Below are 16636 nucleotides of genomic sequence, written 5' to 3'. Positions count from 1 at the left end.
CACACTACAAAGGTCCATTTAGTGGCCTGCATCCATTTGGAGCCTATCATAATTAAATCAAGCATGCCCTAAATGCAGGAACAGTCAACCCACTTACAGTGAGACACCTCTCACATCAACATTTGCCTTTCTTCACTAATCGCTTGGTAAAATAGTTTATACTGATGACCTCTACTTTTTTTATCATCCAATAATTTCTAAACCCTTTGTAAACTTGCCTTCCCTACCATTACTCAACTTTTTTGAAGGCTGATAGTGTCCTCATAATCATTTATTTCATTGGCAATAGTTTTGGCAAATACTAAGCCTCCTTAAATTCTCTAAAGCTATCAAGATGCTAGTCACCCAGTCACATTTTCCCTTTCTTTTCCTTCTGTGACATAAAGTTATTCTGGGTCTCTTATTCTGATTGTTCCTACACTGACTCCACTTCTTTTTCTTTCACTTTTTCTTCTTTCCTGATTCTCTTTCTCTGATTGTTCCTTCATTGGCTCCACTATCATTCACTGGCTCCACATCTTCCTCTGATTAAAGATATTCTTCTGGGTTCATTAGATTAAAAACATCAGCAATAGGATGCCTCCCACTCCCTCAATTCAACAAACGCATTTGTGTATCCAGTTGATTCTAGCTTCTCAGGGAAAAAAGGAGAAATTACAATCCAGTAAAAAAAGATGTTAGTATCATTAAATATAACTTAGGTTCATATCTCAGGTCTGTCAGTCATGAGCAATGTGGCATGAGGTATACTACTTAATCAATTTAAGCCTCTGTTTTTCATCTATAAATTGGAGAAAATAATGCCTATCTTTTAGTATTACTTTATGAATTGCAGTATGCAAAGTACATATTCCAATGGCAGGTAGGTACATAGTGGGCATTTAATAAAAATTTTTCCTTATTACTGTTATTTCCACACTCACTTCCACCAAACTTATATAGTCTGTTTCAACTTCTTTTAGTGTGTCATACACATCAACAAAAGACAAATCATCTAGAGTACAGATATAAACAGGTTTCCTATCTGGCCCAGTAAGTCCCAACTGCTTGACTCAAAGCTCAATTTCTCCCGATTTAAAAATCTTCAGGTTCTAGCCCCAAGCTTCCTCTTCAACCTTCTCCCTCACTGCTCTTCTAAATGAATACCATTCTCCAAACAAATTGGACCTTTTTTGGTTCTCAAACATGCCGTATACTCTTCACCTCAAAGTCCACCTCAGATTCTACCTCCTTTATGAAACTTATCTCCCTAGCTGGATATTTTATCTTCAGAGTATTTTACTGGTACTTCTCTCAGAAGGTACTCATATTCTGCCTGGTATTCAATTATTTGTGCATAAATAACCTTTCCTGCTTATAAATTGTAACCCCTTTGAAGGGAGAAACTAGGTTCCTATTCGTGCTAGTACTTACCACTTAGCTAAGTGATAACACATGTATATTTAAAAATAATAAACAAGGCTGGGTGTGGTGGCTCAAGCCTGTAATCCCAGCACTTTGGGAGGCAACGCAGGCAGATCACCTGGGGTCAGGAGTTCAAGATCAGCCTGGCCAACATGGTGAAATCCCATCTCTTCTAAAACTACAAAAATCAGCCAGGCGTGGTGGCGTGCACCCGTAGTCCCAGCTACTGGGGAGACTGAGGCAGGGGAATCGCTTGAACCCGGGAGGTGGAGGTTGCAGTGAGCTGAGATGGCGCCACTGCACTCCAGCCTGGGTGACAATGTGAGACACCATCTCAAGATAAATAAATAAATACAAATAAAATAAAATAATAAACAAAAAACCCTGACTCTTTCTCAACGAATTATTTTCCTCAACTTCTTATGAAGAGGTAGGAATAGGGTGGGAAGGGAACAGTGTATATAGGGTACTTACAGAGGCACTGCAACCTGAATTCCCACTTGGAATTCTCCCAGCTGCTGCAAAAAGGCAGGGCTGAAATAGCTATTATAGAAATTGACTAGGTAAGACTTTAAGATCTGTTAATCGATTGCAGTCAACCTCTTGGGAAACCCTTTACCAATCTGCTAAGCTTGTCTATATTTCTTTTCTTCCCAACGGTTATTTTTCCTAACCTTCCAGTCTCCTCTAAACCAAGTAAACAAAAGATTTTAATTTAAACCCACAGTCGAACGCCTAGTGAAATACACGTGTATATTTAATGTTATGTATTAGTTCCTATTTAAGAATTTTATTTCTTTAAAATTTATTTCAACCAAAATCCAACACCAAATTCTATGGGTAATATCTTAAGGCAGCACCTAGTATAGTGCTTTGTATATAGTACACATTCAGTATGTAATGGTTAAAAGAGTGAATTTACAGTCTACAATTGCAGGACTTAATTTTGGCTAATTGCAGTGGAAAACATGAGAAAAGATATAGTCCAAGTAAGAATGACACTTGAGGGTTCAGGCCCGCAACACCAGCTAGGTAGACCCTTAGGTGGCCCAGTGGTATACAAAGATTTAAGCATTCCCAGCTGAGCCCCTTGACAATAGAGATACATCATTTTATTTTGTATCACTTAGTACTGTGCCAAATCCAAAAATACTCTCTCAAGTGCAAGAGTATTCAGGAGTTAGAAATATTGAAAGTTCCACTATTCAAGCAAATTAGGTATAGTTCATATAATTTTTTCAACTCAGGATCCTCAGTCACTCCATAGAGTAAGCAAAGTATGCAATTACTAGAATTATTAGTCTCAATTTACATAAGATCACACTGCTGGCACTAAACTCCAGTTCCAGACTCTTTTTTCCACTATTGAATGCCACAGAAACATAAAAAAAAAAAAAATGGAAGGATCTTTAGAAACCATGTAGCTGGATTTTTTTTAAGATGATGAAAACTGAGGCCCATGAAGAGAGTCACATTAGCTCAAGGCTCCTACTAAAGCCAAATAATTTCGTGCAAAATCATCTCCCTCTGATTATCATTATCTACACACACAAATACATAATTTTTCTTTTTGCCTTTCTGAAAATCTGGAGGTCTGAAAAGACTTTAAGATTTCTCTCAAGTTAAAAATACACGTTTGTACGTGTAACCAGAGGGCAAGTTTTCTATGGTCCACATGTTTTCTTAAAAAAAAAAAAAAAAAGGAAATACAGGAGATGTGCAGTGCGTGTGACAGGCAAATGTTCTCGAACTTTATTGTGTAGTGTAACCCCTATGGCACAGGCCCTTAGAATTCAGCCACATTAATGAAGAGATATTTTTATGTAGTAGAAAGAGCACAAACTTTGAGGTGTTTTGTTTTGAGACAGAGTCTTGCTCTGTTGCCCAGGCTGGAGTGCAGTGGCGCGATCTCAGCTCACTGCAACCTCCACCTCCTGGGTTCTAAGCGATTCTCCTGTCAGCCTCTGGAACAGCTTGGATTACAGGCGCCCGCCACCACGCCAGGCTAATTTTGTATTTTTAATAGAGACGGGGTTTCACCATGTTGGCCAGGCTGGTCTCGAACTCCTGACCTCAGGTGATCCACCCGTTTCGGCCTCCCAAAGTGCTGGGATTACAGGCGTGAGCCACCGCGCCCGGCCCAACTTTGAGGTTTTATCTGCCACTTACTATGCAGTCTTGGCTAGAACACTTAACTTCTTTGAGCCCGAGTTTCCTCATCATTAAATGGAGATAATTCAGGTTTGATGTGAAGATTTGAGAAGAAGGTATGTCTGACACACTGCCGAAGATCGATAAATATTTGTTGAATGAATAACACAGCCAGCCGAAGCTCAACAAAAGACACATACACAAACACACCCACACGGTTGGGTAGTTGCCGTCTCCCGGGGAGCTCCAGAAGTGTAAGCTCTCAGCCCTCCCTCTGACTTCAGAAGCCTGAAGCTACTAAGCCCGCAGCCCGGTGCGTCTCTTCGCAGCCTTAATCAGTGCCCGGGCAAAGGCCTGCAGAGAATTCTCTGGGCCTCGCACCAGGCCCCAAGAACACACTGGAGACTCGTTTCGCCTTCTCCCTCGCCGTTTCCCCCCTCCAGGGCCAGAGTCCGAGGAAGCCCGATAGCGGTTCTCGGCCTCCGAAACACAACTACAACACTGGGGAGCTTGCCCTGCAGTTAGCGTCCAGCGGGGATTAGGCACTTCGTTTTCCTCATCGTTTCAATCTCTATCTTCTGGTCGGGGTCCAAGCTCAGCGGCACCACGTCACGGCCCTTAGTGGTCTAGGCCACACCCCTCCTTCCCGACAGCCTCAAGTCCACTACCAGCGGTCTGGAAGGCCACGTTGCCTAGGAAACTGGGGCGGGGCTTGGGAAACGACGGCCCTGCGCGCAGTTTGCGCAGGCGCTCCGGCCCTGGCCTCTGACTATCGCGAGAATCGGCTCCCGGAAGTTCCACGTCAGTCAGTCTGACGGTCAGTGGATCGGTGGGTTTATCTCAAGGCCTGAGTAGCCGGTAACAAACGAGGGTTCCCGGGATTGGACCGACGCAGCCATGGTAGGTCCAGATCCCGTAGAAGGGAGCGGGGTCCCATAGGTTACGGCCGATTCCTGGAGCTTCTGGACTGAGGGCCGCGGTAAGCAGTGGTCTGGGCTCCCGCTGCGGCCGCCGCCTCAGGCCTTGCGGGGTCTTGGTCGTTTGATTCCAGGAAGGGAGAAGGCGGTGGGGCCTAGGGGACCGGGGTGATTTGGGGAGGCAAAGCCTGCTAGTGAGGGGTTTTGTCTCCCCTGGCGCTTGTGGCGCTTGCCAGAGCTCCTGCAGTCTGCAGCGGGATCGGTGGTGTAGGGAAACACAGAAGCCGAATGTGTTGAACTCCGTAGGAGGCTTTGGTAAAACTAAAGTTTGCCTTTAAAACGGTGGTAGTTAATCTACACTCCTGTTGGGCTTATTCTGGGGATAGTGTGTGCTGGCTACAAACTATAAACAAGCAAAGAAGCCAAAAACAAATGTATATGGAGTCAAAAATGGAATTTCAAATGCTTTGATATCTCAGCTGTTAGGTTTCTAAGGGGAGAAGAAGGGTTGGGAGGAAGGGGGTGCTGTTTATAACACTGGCTGGTGTGCTTTTATGCATTTGCAAATCCAGTGGCTGGTAAGAATAGTAATTGTTAGAGCACTTTGTTATTATCACCGTAACCCTAAAAAACGCCCTAGACTAGTTTGCACAAGAGTGTTATAATAATAAGGAAAGAAAACGATAGTATAAGAATATCTTCCGTCTCTATTGAAAATGCAAAAAAAAAAAAAAGAAATTAGCCGGGCGTGGTGGCGGGCCCCTGTAGTCCCAGCTACTCAGGAGGCTGAGGCAGGAGAATCGCTTGAACCCGGGAGGCAGAGGCTGCAGTGAGCCGAGGTCGCACCACTGCACTCCAGCCTGGGACAGAGCAAGACTCCGTCTCAAAAAAAAAAAAAAAAAAACTTGTTATGAAGCACAGAATCAAACATTTTGGAGCTTGAAGACGCTAGGGATTAAGTCCCTCATCTTAAGTTAAAAAATTTTTTTAAATTATGTTTCTACAAGGTTAATTGTGGCAAAGTTGGAACTAGGAAAAAGTTAGGAATACTCCCAGGGAAAATGCACAGAGAAACAAACATTTTTGCATAAAATTCAGTGCATTCATTCACAGACACCCCCCCCCACAATCCATGGACCTTCTTTTTTTTTTTAATTTGTTTTATAAAAAATATGGAACGCTTCACGGATTTGCGTGTCATACTTGCGCAGGGGCCACGCTAATCTCCTCTCTATGTGCTGCCGAAGCTAGCACTATCCGTGGACTTTCTTGGGCACCCAGGTTACAGTCCCTGAACAAGACCTCAAGCCTCTTAATTAGAGCACTTCGTATTACTAACTACCTGATGTAGTTTGGGTCTGCTGTGGTTGCAGTAATGGACGTTTTTGGAAAAGGCTCTTGGATCTGCCTAATTTCATTTTCTTTTGCCGTCTTTACATTTACCAGTGTATTTCTATAATGAAATATTGCCTTCATTCTTTATATATTTTAAATCCTTTGTGGAAAATACAAAACGTGAATTCATTCATTTGTACATTTACCATAGAATATTTAGTGTCTGCCATGCACTTTGCTAAACATGGCTGCCTAATTCTCACAGCAGCTGGGAGATAGAGTTATATGTTTGTGAAGTGGTTACTGTAGGTCAGGCACTGCTCTAACTGGCTAACTCTGAATTTAATTCTTACAGCACTAAGAGGTAGATAATAATAATATTCCTGTTTTACATAAGTCAAACTTGAAAGAGGTTAAGTAAATTTGCCCACTATTGCACATCTGAAATGAGTGGTGGAACTGAAATTTAAATCCATCATGGCTTTCTAGTCTTGTGTTATGGTATCTGTTCTTAAACCCCCATACTCAAATATATAAGGTGATCTGGAGATAAAGACATGTATAAGCAATGACCCTGGCTTTAAGGAGGATCTACTCTAGAAAGCAAGAAAAGATGTGTACACAAGTGTACCATGAACAGTTAAAATGAAATCCTATAGGATTCCCTAGGAAAGAATGCTTCAGGCTAGGGTAACTAGAAAGGTCTTACTGGTGGCAGTGGCATTTAAGCTGAGTCCTAAATGCATCCAGCTTTTGGAAGGTGGAGGGATATATTTAAAGTTGAGGATACAGTGTGAGCATCCTAATCATCTTTGTCCCAAAGTACCTAGTACATTGTCTTATTCAAAATAGTCACTTAACTGTTGGGAGAAATATTATCACAAGAACCCTTGCCTGTTCGTTCTTTCTTTCTTTTCTTTCTTTTCTTTTTCTTTTCTTTCCTTCCTTACTTCCTTCTTTCCTTCTTTCTTTCTTTCTTTCTTTCTTGACAGAATCTCACTCTGTCGCCCAGGCTGGAGTGCAGTGGTGCAATCGTGGCTCACTGCAACCTCCACCTCCCAGATTCAAGTGATTCTGCAGCCTCAGCCTGCCGAGTAGCTGGGACTGCAGGCGCGTGCCACCACGTCCAACTAATTTTTTTTTTTTTTTTTGTATTTTTAGTAGAGACGGGGTTTCACCATGTTGGCCAGGCTGGTCTCAAACTCCTGACTTCAGGTGATCCTCCCGCCTCAGCTTCCCAAAGTACTGAGATTACAGGCATGAGTCACCACGCCTGGCTGCCTGTTCTTTTTTAAACTGAGATTTGTGCTTTGGGAGTATGTAGAGGTTTACTGGGGTTGCTCAGAGTTCATTGGCCCAACTTATGGAGCATCACTTTTACTCAATAATCAATAATTTAAAATATTTTAAAGTAAAATGTTCACAATTTGTAAGTGTCCAATTTCCTCATTACTGGAGGAAAATTGTGAGACATGCTGGCTTATATGAAAACCCTCACCATGGTTCCTGCCTGGTACATAATAGACTCTTCATACCTGTTGACTCCATAGAGATTTAAAAAGAAGTTAAAATTTGTAATAGTAATTTATGGGGCAGAATTCAGAAATGAAGTAAAAAGCCTTGATTTTGGGAACTAGCAAGGAATGTTAAGATGATGATTTGAAAGTGGAAAATTGGAGCTGGGAGACCGAGGTGGGTGGATCACAAGGTCAGGAGAGGAGTTCGAGACCAGCCTGGCCAATATGGTGAAACCCTGTCTCTAAAAATACAAAAATTAGCTGGACATGGTGGCAGGCACCTGTAGTCCCCAGCTACTCGGGAGGCTGAGGCAGAATCCCTTGAACCTGGGAGGTGGAGGTTGCAGTGAGCCGAGATCACGCCACTGCCCTCCAGTCTGGGCGACAGAGCAAGACTCTGTCTCAAAAAAAAAAACAAGAAAGTAGAAAATTGGAGAGAGGAAGGGACTGATGACAGTGAAAACATTTTTGAGGAGATTGAAGAGAAGAGCCAGAGAACTCTGATCTTTTAAAGTAAGAGGTAAAGGTTGTTGCTGAAAATGAAGGAGGCGTGGGTAGAACAAGACTTGAAGTAGTCAATGACCCAAATTTGATAAAAATCCCCAAAAAAGATGAGTAAAAGCATTGTGAGGTGTTTTGTCTCAGGAAGTTGTCTCTGCTAGATCTTCTTTTTATATTCAAAAGTAACCTTAAATTTCTGTCCCATTCATGATCATCATAGAAGATCACAGCAATAAAGATTTGACAGTAACTCAACTTGCCAAATGAGCTTTTAGGTTGTGTTTAAGACCTGTTGAAGGGGAAATATATTTTAAATCAGTCTTTTCTCAGCATGCCTCCTAGAGAGAATTAAGCCCACTGCCCTAAGGATCATTGTATATATTGAATTAACTTTTCTCCTATAATGGCATTTTTTGGAGAATGGAGAAAATAGTTATTCAAATAATTATCTGTTCTGTAATTCAAAGGAAGAATTTGGCTTGAAAATGCTAGTATAAACTATTCATATTTTCTGACTTGAGAGAATGTTTTTATTTTTGTTTTAAATTTTTCCAATTTTCATTGTTTCTGTAATTTAAATCCATTAAAATATTTCAGACATTCCCATTTGATACCAAAGGCCATCATGCATAGGGATATAACCCTTATTGATCACACATTATGTTACCTAGCATTTACTAGTATTTTTGACAAGATAAATCTACCATTTTTCTCCAAAGAACTCAATATTATGCTTTATGGTTACTAGGACTTCATGAATAACACTTCTTCAGAATATTTCCTGATATGACACTATTGACCTGGGCACAAAATTGTGATTTGTGAATATTTAAAATTCATTGGCCGGGTGCGGGGGTTCACGCCTGTAATCCTAGCACTTTGGGAGGCCGAGGCGGGCGGATCACAAGGTCAGGAGATCGAAACCATCCTGGCTAACACGGTGAAACCCTGTCTCTACTGAAAATACAAAAAATTAGCTGGGCATGGTAGCATGCGCCTGTAGTCCCAGCTACTTGGGAGGCTGAGGCAGGAGAATCGCTTGAACCCGGGAAGCAGAGGTTTCAGTGAGCAGAGATCAGCGCCACTGCACTCCAGCCTGGACGACAGAGCGAGACTTCGCCACTGCACTCCAGCCTGGACGACAGAGCGAGACTTCGTCTCAAAAAGAAAAAAAGTAAATTTATTTACTAGATAATTCTATGAACTAGAGGTTCTCAAAATGTGGTCTGCGATTCCTTAAGAGTCCCTAAAACTCTTTCAGGAGGTCCACAAATTAAAATTATTTTCTTAACAGTGAGACGCTATTGGCACCTTTCACAATGTTGATATTTGCACTGATGGTGTAAAAGTAGTGGAAGGTAAAACTGCTAGTGAAGTGACACCAAATTGTACTGTTAGTATATTCTTCATTGTGACAGTTTTTTAAAAAGTCATTTTCACTTAAGAATGTCATTGATGAAACAGTAAAAATGTTATTACCTCTCCACACTTGAGTATGCATCTTTTAAATTCTGTGTGGTGAAATGGGGAGTATGCATAAAGCAGTTCTACTGCATACCGAAGTATCGTAGTTGTCTCAAGGGGAAACACTTGTAGCGTTTTTAAGTTGTGAGCTTTACTTGAAACAATGACTGAGAAACTCTGCTTATTCAGACTTGAATATTTGGTCGACATTTTTTAAAAACCTGAAAGAGGTTGGCTGGTCCCTGACAGTATTTCTTGCCAATGATAAAATTAAAGCTTTCAAGTGAAAGTTCGAATTTTGAAAAACTCACTGAACTTGATGGATTTCCAATGCTTAAAGGCTTATCAGTTGAAGTAGGTGGTGAAATTAGTGAATGTGTAATTTTTTTAATACAGTATCATGATGTTGTTAGCATCTAGAAGATGTGCATAATTCAGTGGACCAGCATTTTCCAAACGACCAATGCTTAATGGTAGAAAAACATGCATGAGAGAAAGATCCATTCAAAGTATGGACTTAACCAATGGATTTTAATGTAACGAAGTATAAACAGCTTATTGATACGGTTTCAGATTTTACCTTGCAAGTAGCCTTTAAGAAACTACCACTTCTCGAATTTCGAAGAATTTCAAGTAATGAAAAAACTATTAAGATACTCCTCACTTTCCAACTAGGTATCTGTGAGACCAGGCATTATTTTGTAGACATTAACCAAAACAACATATCACAACATATTGAAGGCAGAAGCAGATAATGAGAAACCATCTGTCTTCTGTTAAGTCAGATTATAAAGAGTTCTGCAAAAATGTAAAATATTGCCACTCTTTTCACTAAATTTTTTGAAAACATAGTTATTTTTCATAAAAACATGTTATTTTAATTAACATGTACTGGATTTATTTTTGTTATTTGAAAATGAATTAATATATAAATATTTTAAAGTTGTCTCAGGTTTAATTTTTAACATGGTAACATGCCAATAGCTAAAACTCACATAAACAAAAGCTCTTAGGGGTCCTCAAAGTGTTTAAGGACTATAAAGGAATCCTTAGAGCAAAAAGCTTGAAGACCACTGCTGTAAATCTTAAAATGTTGAATATTCTGATTTTTTTGATGTGTAAATGAAGAAATAAGTGCTTAGACTTGAAACTGTTTCAAAAGCTTAGCAAAGTAGTAGCTGAATTGTTTTGTAGGCCTATTCATGCACTTATTTAGTTAAAATCTCAAACATATTTTATTTGGCTTAGCAATTTAATTTTTTTAATGTTTCTTTTTAGCCTCTGCGACTTGATATCAAAAGAAAGCTAACTGCTAGATCTGATCGAGTTAAGAGTGTGGATCTGCATCCTACAGAGCCATGGATGTTGGCAAGTCTTTACAATGGCAGTGTGTGTGTTTGGAATCATGAAACACAGGTAGGAATTTTTCAGGACTGTATTAGAAATAAAATACTATGTGAGACTGTGTTTATAATGAAAGAGAAGAAATATTATAACAGAATCCAGAATCTATATGCAAACTGCTTTCTCAAGTTGGTACAAAGTATTTTAAATATGAAGGAACTAACATTTATGAGGGGATAGTTTGTAGGAGAAACTGTCCTGGGTATGTTATATACAATATTTAAATATAACAACTCTGACTTAGGTAGTATTAGCTCTTTTTTGAAATTGAGAAAACTGATGGTATTATAGAATCACTTGCTAAAGTATTTAATCGTTAGTTTTCCATTCAGTGAATACTCTATCTTAAGAATGATATCGTTAAATTTATTTTTCTCCCAGATGCCCAATATAATGATACACAGATAAATCTTTCACTCAGCCATATAGATTATATCAGGGAAATATTTATAGTCAGCTTTTGATTATACACACATCTTACAGATTGTCTGCCTGAATGCTTGACTCATTCTCTTTCACCTGAGTAAATAACATATCCTTCAAATTAGTTTGTCTCATATTTTCCAGTCTTCCTAGACTGTATTTAAGAGTACAAAGCATATAGTTAGCACTATACTATACAGTTGTGTCTACTTATATAGTAATTATCCTTAACGTCCAAAGTTAAGTTCTTGAAATCCAGGTAAAATTCGCATTTGAGGAATTTAAAATGGCAAAATGACATCAAGGAACCAAAGCCAGAAGTAAACCTAAAAACACCTTTATACTTTTATACTCACTGTAATGAAACAGAAATGACTGTACACTAAACTCATACCCTGTATTAGTCTGTTCTCACACTGCTGTAAAGAACTACCTGAGACTGGGTAATTTATGAAGGAAAGAGGTTTAATTGACTCACAGTTCCACAGGCTTAACAGGAAGCATGACTGGGAGGCCTCAGGAAACTTAAAATTTTGGCAGCAGGTGAAGGGGAAGCAAGCACCTTCTTCACATGATGGCAGGAGAGAGAGAGCAAAGTGGGAAGTGCCACACACTTTTAAACCATCAGATCTCATGAGAAGTCACTATCACGAGAACGGCAAGGGGGAAATCCACCCCCATGATCCAATCACCTCCCACCAGGGTCCTCCTCCAATTTGACATGAGATTTGGGTGGGGATACAAATCCAAACCATATCATAGTCCATCAGTGACATTTTATATAAATTAACATTTTGTTTTCTGCTGTATCTCAGTACCTATAACATTACCTGGCACATAGTAAATGCTCAATAATTATTTGTTCAACCAATGAATAATATGCATTTCACTTATCACTAGTTCAGTATTTGTGTTCTCTACAATTTCAGATCTTTATCTTGTGAATTGTTTTTGCTTTGATGCAAATAACTTTTTTTTTTTGCTTTTTGTTTAGTTCTTGAGATGTTTAAAATATTTCTGATTTTATGTTTAACAGATACGTTGGTGTCCTCTCTCTCTGATTATTCCTAGGGATTCCCTCTTATCAGCTACATTTACCTATCTCAGCTCTATCACTTGATCATCGTATGTTCTAAAGCCCAGGCGTACTTTTCTTATCTTTCTCTAGGCTTTATTGTAATATATCTCTGCTTTATCTGCATTTCCACTTTGCCTCCTTTTTCTCTTCTATACCTTTTTCTGCCCTATGACAGGACCATCTGCTTCCCCTTTCATAATTCATCTCAGTGGTAATTTCATGTTTAATTTCCTTCTTTCCTCTAAGAATGGAGGTTCTGTGAGGACAAGGATTACCCTCATCTTATTTCCCACTGTTGGTCCAGTGCATGAGGCACTACCTGATACACTGTCAGGCTCCTGGTAGATAGTAAGTCTTTGTTGAATGATTAATCTGTCTTTGATTCTCCCTGTTTTTTCCCTGTGTTTATATCACCAACAGCATTTACCACTCCTATATTGAGAGCAAATTCTTGAGAGAGCCAAAAAGGTTTTTGGAAGTAAAAAGGTTTTTAGATGTACTTGAATTTCAAATAAGGAGATGCTATATATTCTTTGAGGTGGTACATGCAGTGGTTTAAAAAACATAGTATTTTAGGATTTGAAGCCAACTTGCTGATTAAATTATATAGGCAAGCCTTTTAACCATGCTGAGCCTCTTTATTTATCTGAAGTGAAGATGATATTATTGCCTTGCCTACATCACAGGATTGTCAAAAAGATAAAATAAAATTAGATAAAATTGTGTATGAAACCTATAAAGTACCATATAAGTATTAGTCATTAGTTATACTTTCCTAATCTACGTTGAGTATTTGTATGTATTGTGTGTGTAGCTTTTCTTACTCTTTATTTGCATCAGTCATAGCCCCTAACATGGCGTTGAACCTTGGCTATTTCTTCTGCAGCTGCTTTATTTTTACTGCTCAGCAGATCCCTGGATTTGTTGGCTCCTCATGAGCTTTTGTGGATTTTTCTGCCGTGTTATAGATCGCATGTTGTGTCTACTCTCAGTTTCTGTATCATAGTCAGCTGGTAGTGATTCTACAGGTTAGAGTTGAAGTGCCTACTCATTCAGCCTTTGTCTAAAGAATCTTTGAACTCTGGCTTGAAAAGTCAGAGTAGGACAGTTCTTATGAACCGGTCCCTATTACTTTTTTAGTGCACATGGTTAATCAATCAGTAAGATTATATTGTGTTTCTTAGTTATTTCATTTTTGCTCTCTGATACAAAAAAGGATTAGAAAATGATAGTTTGACTTTCAGACTTTTAAGAACAGGCATCAAAGAAGGAGAACAAAGAGGTACCATGATCTCTGCTCTTTCTAGGAGGGTCTCTACCTTTATCCTATGTGTATAATTCCATTCTGAGCAGCTCGGAGGAACATATAAGTCACGGTGTTTTCATATTTTATTAAAAAGAAATAATAACATTTGTATGGAATCATATTGCTAAAGCATGCAAAAGAATTGTACCTTATTCATGAGTCACTTTTATGGGTTTCAATTTCAAAAAGACTGACTAGGTGCAGTGGCTCACGCCTGTAATCCCAGCACTTGGGAGGCTGAGACGGGTGGATCACTTGAGGCCAGGAGTTCGAGACTACCCTGGCCAACATGGTGAAACCCCGTCTGTACGAAAAATACAAAAATTTGCTTGGCATGGTGGTGCACACCTGTAATCCCAGCTACTTGGGTAACTGAAGCATGAGAATCACTTGAACCTGGGAGGCGGAGGTCGCAGTGAGCCAAGATTGTGCCACTGTACTGCACTTCAGCCTGGGTGACAGAGTAAGACTGTCTCAAAAAAAAAAAAAAAAAAAAAAAGAAAAGAAAAAAAGAAACTAAGAGCTAATTCATTCAACAAATATTTATTACACACTACTTGTGTGCCAGCCACTGTTCTATCCTCTGCCTATACAGTGTGAAAAATATTCCTGCCTTTGGAGAGCTTAGCAGGAAAGATTGGCACTAAACATAATTATGAGGTGCTACATTATGAAAGGGAAGTACAAGTTTCCATGGGTGGATTTTCAAGTCAGAGACAACAAGAGCAGAGGTGAGGCTGGGAGTAGCCAAAGGTGAGGCTGGAAAAGGGAGGGAAGGGCTGGAGCACAGAGGATCTGGAATACCATCTTGTGGATATTTGCCTTCTCTTATCTTTTAAAAAGTGTTTTAATTTCGAATCTATTAAAAGATAGTTGGTCTTTTTTAAAAATTTGAATGTTGAGCTTTTATATTTTAGCCTGAGAATATACTAAAATGAGAAGTGATCTTAAAAATTGGATGTTTGAAATATAACAGAGTAGATTTTGTGGTTATTTTCTTATAGCTCAATTTGTGTATTCTTGTTACATTTTAAAGACACTGGTGAAGACATTTGAAGTATGTGATCTTCCTGTTCGAGCTGCAAAGTTTGTTGCAAGGAAGAATTGGGTTGTGACAGGAGCGGTAAGTAATTAATATGAATCTCTATTCCCATTTTCTGAATTGGTCAATGATTGTGTAAATTTGTTGCAGGATTTTGATTCCCGATTTGTTTTGTTATTTACAGCAATGTTTTGAGGCATAGACTTTATTCCTTGAGCCTGTGATATAGTTTTTTTGTATAATTTACTTGATAACAGGGATGATGGTTTTAAAATTTCTGTTTCTAGGATGACATGCAGATTAGAGTGTTCAATTACAATACTCTGGAGAGAGTTCATATGTTTGAAGCACACTCAGACTACATTCGCTGTATTGCTGTTCATCCAACCCAGCCTTTCATTCTAACTAGCAGTGGTAAGAGATGACCTTTTTTGGTCATGTGCGTCTCTTTGGGTAATTCATTTTCATTCACTGAGACATGCTATGCTTTAACTGCTGTTACAAATATAATTCTAATTCCAAGCGGCCTTTAAACTATTTAGATCCATTACTGTGCTATTGATGCTGCTTGTGTTTGTACTATAATGAAATATCAACTGTACTTAGGATTTGTGTAATGATTGCTCCAGTTCCTGTCAGAGAAGACCTACAAGTCTAGATGTTTAAACATCTGCTGAACAGAAAGGTCATTTACATGTTGATGAGTGAGTTTTTGGCAGATTGCCATAGACCCTATTCAGTTCAATCTTTATATTCAAACTAGTTTGCTCCTTGGTATTGTGTATAAATAGTAGACCTCTTGGAGGACTGGAAAAAGAGGTAGCACTGAATTAGTAATAGCTCTTTGAAATGTTTTTAAATTAAAAATTGAGAAGTAATTAAAAACTTTTTAAAAACCAATCTTGTGAGGGCAAATGCTTGTTCTCTACATAGTCATTGCTATCACTATTCAGTCATGCTTAGATCTAGTCAAACTTATATTACTCTTTGGCCATTCTTTAATGCCCACTGAATTTTTAAGTTTTTTCACAGAATTTTTATATTTTCTATTTCTAATCTATTTTATTTATTTTATCTCCACTTTTCTGTAGAGAGTTAAATTTATTTTTAAGATAAATAAGCATTTTGAAAACTCTATTTGGTTTTGATTCTATTTCTGTAAGTCATGGATTATATGGTTTGTGTTAGGTTTGCTTCTTCTAAAGACTGTGTCTTAGTTATGAAGTGAAAAAATAGAATTACAACTAACTTGAGACTTTCTTTTGGCCTAGATGACATGCTTATTAAGCTCTGGGACTGGGATAAAAAATGGTCTTGCTCACAAGTGTTTGAAGGACACACCCATTATGTTATGCAGATTGTGATCAACCCCAAAGATAACAATCAGTTTGCCAGTGCCTCTTTGGACAGGACTATCAAGGTAGGGCATCCACATTTTGTGTCAGTTATCATTATTAGTGAACTATACTTGCCTTAGGTGTTTTACTGTTGACTGGTCAGAAATGTACCCATCTTAAAAATTTTCCTCAAAAGCCTGTTTTGAAGTCAAAATAGGATTTCTCATTTTAATCCAAACGACATGTTCTGTTTAGAAAAATATTGTGGCAACTCAGTGCTCTTAATGAGGAGCGTTTTTCTGTGTGGAGGCAGCATGTTATAAAAATTTTTTAGCCTTTGGAAACCCAGAATAAGAAAAATGCCAATATCTTTTTAGGATACTACTGTCCTCTCCTTTTAGTATTCATTGTTGACTTCTGCTCATCGTTTATCTATTTTACATTTAAATTCCATATGCCTCTATTCTCTCTTTCTTACTCCATTTTACCACACTGCTGTCTGTTATCTTTCTGAAACAGTTCCTGATCTAAGGATAAAGTCCAAATGCCTTAGTGTGGAATACAAGGATTTCCAGGACTAGCCTGGGCTAATATTATGCGACATCTCCTAAAACCCTGGTCTACTCACCATCCTCTAGAGAGGCTATGAATGTTCACAAAACCTTACTTCATTGAACTGTTCCATCTTCCTGCACTTCTCTTTATTTTCCTATTTTGATATATTTTCCTCCGGAGAATTACTCAGCTTTTAAGGTTT

At 38.8% G+C, this 16636-nt stretch overlaps 1 protein-coding gene, 1 long non-coding RNA gene and 1 pseudogene across 5 annotated transcripts in view, besides 7 other annotated features; 1 reads left to right on the top strand and 2 right to left on the bottom strand.

Annotated features, from left to right (window-relative positions):
- The window catches only part of COPB2-DT (COPB2 divergent transcript), a 193517-nt gene extending 189317 nt beyond the window's left edge, over positions 1-4200 (bottom strand). For both annotated transcript variants that reach the window (NR_121609.1, NR_121608.1), the window contains exon 1: positions 4070-4200. This is a non-coding gene — a long non-coding RNA (COPB2 divergent transcript). The remainder of the gene's footprint in view (positions 1-4069) is intronic.
- Positions 3508-4070: an enhancer, noted in NCBI's record as "H3K27ac-H3K4me1 hESC enhancer chr3:139108775-139109337 (GRCh37/hg19 assembly coordinates)". NCBI's record gives its function as "activates a minimal SCP1, AML or CMV promoter by ChIP-STARR-seq in naive H9 embryonic stem cells {active_cell/tissue: H9 hESC(naive)}" and the evidence as "EXISTENCE:reporter gene assay evidence [ECO:0000049][PMID:30033119]".
- Positions 3508-4138: a biological region, named in NCBI's record as "H3K27ac-H3K4me1 hESC enhancer GRCh37_chr3:139108775-139109337".
- Positions 3519-3628: an enhancer, noted in NCBI's record as "active region_20614". NCBI's record gives its function as "activates an Ori minimal core promoter by ATAC-STARR-seq in GM12878 lymphoblastoid cells {active_cell/tissue: GM12878}" and the evidence as "EXISTENCE:reporter gene assay evidence [ECO:0000049][PMID:35858748]".
- Positions 3839-4138: an enhancer, noted in NCBI's record as "active region_20613". NCBI's record gives its function as "activates an Ori minimal core promoter by ATAC-STARR-seq in GM12878 lymphoblastoid cells {active_cell/tissue: GM12878}" and the evidence as "EXISTENCE:reporter gene assay evidence [ECO:0000049][PMID:35858748]".
- Positions 4071-4632: an enhancer, noted in NCBI's record as "H3K27ac hESC enhancer chr3:139108213-139108774 (GRCh37/hg19 assembly coordinates)". NCBI's record gives its function as "activates a minimal SCP1, AML or CMV promoter by ChIP-STARR-seq in naive H9 embryonic stem cells {active_cell/tissue: H9 hESC(naive)}" and the evidence as "EXISTENCE:reporter gene assay evidence [ECO:0000049][PMID:30033119]".
- Positions 4071-4678: a biological region, named in NCBI's record as "H3K27ac hESC enhancer GRCh37_chr3:139108213-139108774".
- COPB2 (coat protein complex I subunit beta 2) overlaps positions 4323-16636 on the top strand; it is a 32275-nt gene continuing 19961 nt past the window's right edge. Inside the window, exons 1-6 of one of the 3 annotated variants that reach the window (NM_001410834.1) lie at positions 4356-4455; positions 8574-8999; positions 10568-10705; positions 14537-14623; positions 14830-14956; positions 15814-15962. In NM_001410834.1, the coding sequence (NP_001397763.1) occupies positions 10652-10705; positions 14537-14623; positions 14830-14956; positions 15814-15962 (417 nt within the window). In that variant the 5' untranslated portion in view covers positions 4356-4455; positions 8574-8999; positions 10568-10651. Of the gene's footprint in view, positions 4535-8573; positions 9000-10567; positions 10706-14536; positions 14624-14829; positions 14957-15813; positions 15963-16636 lie in introns of all 3 variants that reach the window. The other 2 variants (NR_023350.1, NM_004766.3) reach the window with 2 other exon arrangements.
- Positions 4429-4678: an enhancer, noted in NCBI's record as "active region_20612". NCBI's record gives its function as "activates an Ori minimal core promoter by ATAC-STARR-seq in GM12878 lymphoblastoid cells {active_cell/tissue: GM12878}" and the evidence as "EXISTENCE:reporter gene assay evidence [ECO:0000049][PMID:35858748]".
- On the bottom strand, positions 5639-5724 carry LOC124906339 (uncharacterized; annotated as a pseudogene).

Source organism: Homo sapiens, chromosome 3 (assembly GCF_000001405.40).
Source record: "Homo sapiens chromosome 3, GRCh38.p14 Primary Assembly".
Taxonomy (NCBI): domain Eukaryota; kingdom Metazoa; phylum Chordata; class Mammalia; order Primates; family Hominidae; genus Homo; species Homo sapiens.
The sequence above is the reverse complement of the archived record's forward strand: the minus strand, read 5'-3'. Positions and strand labels throughout refer to the sequence as shown.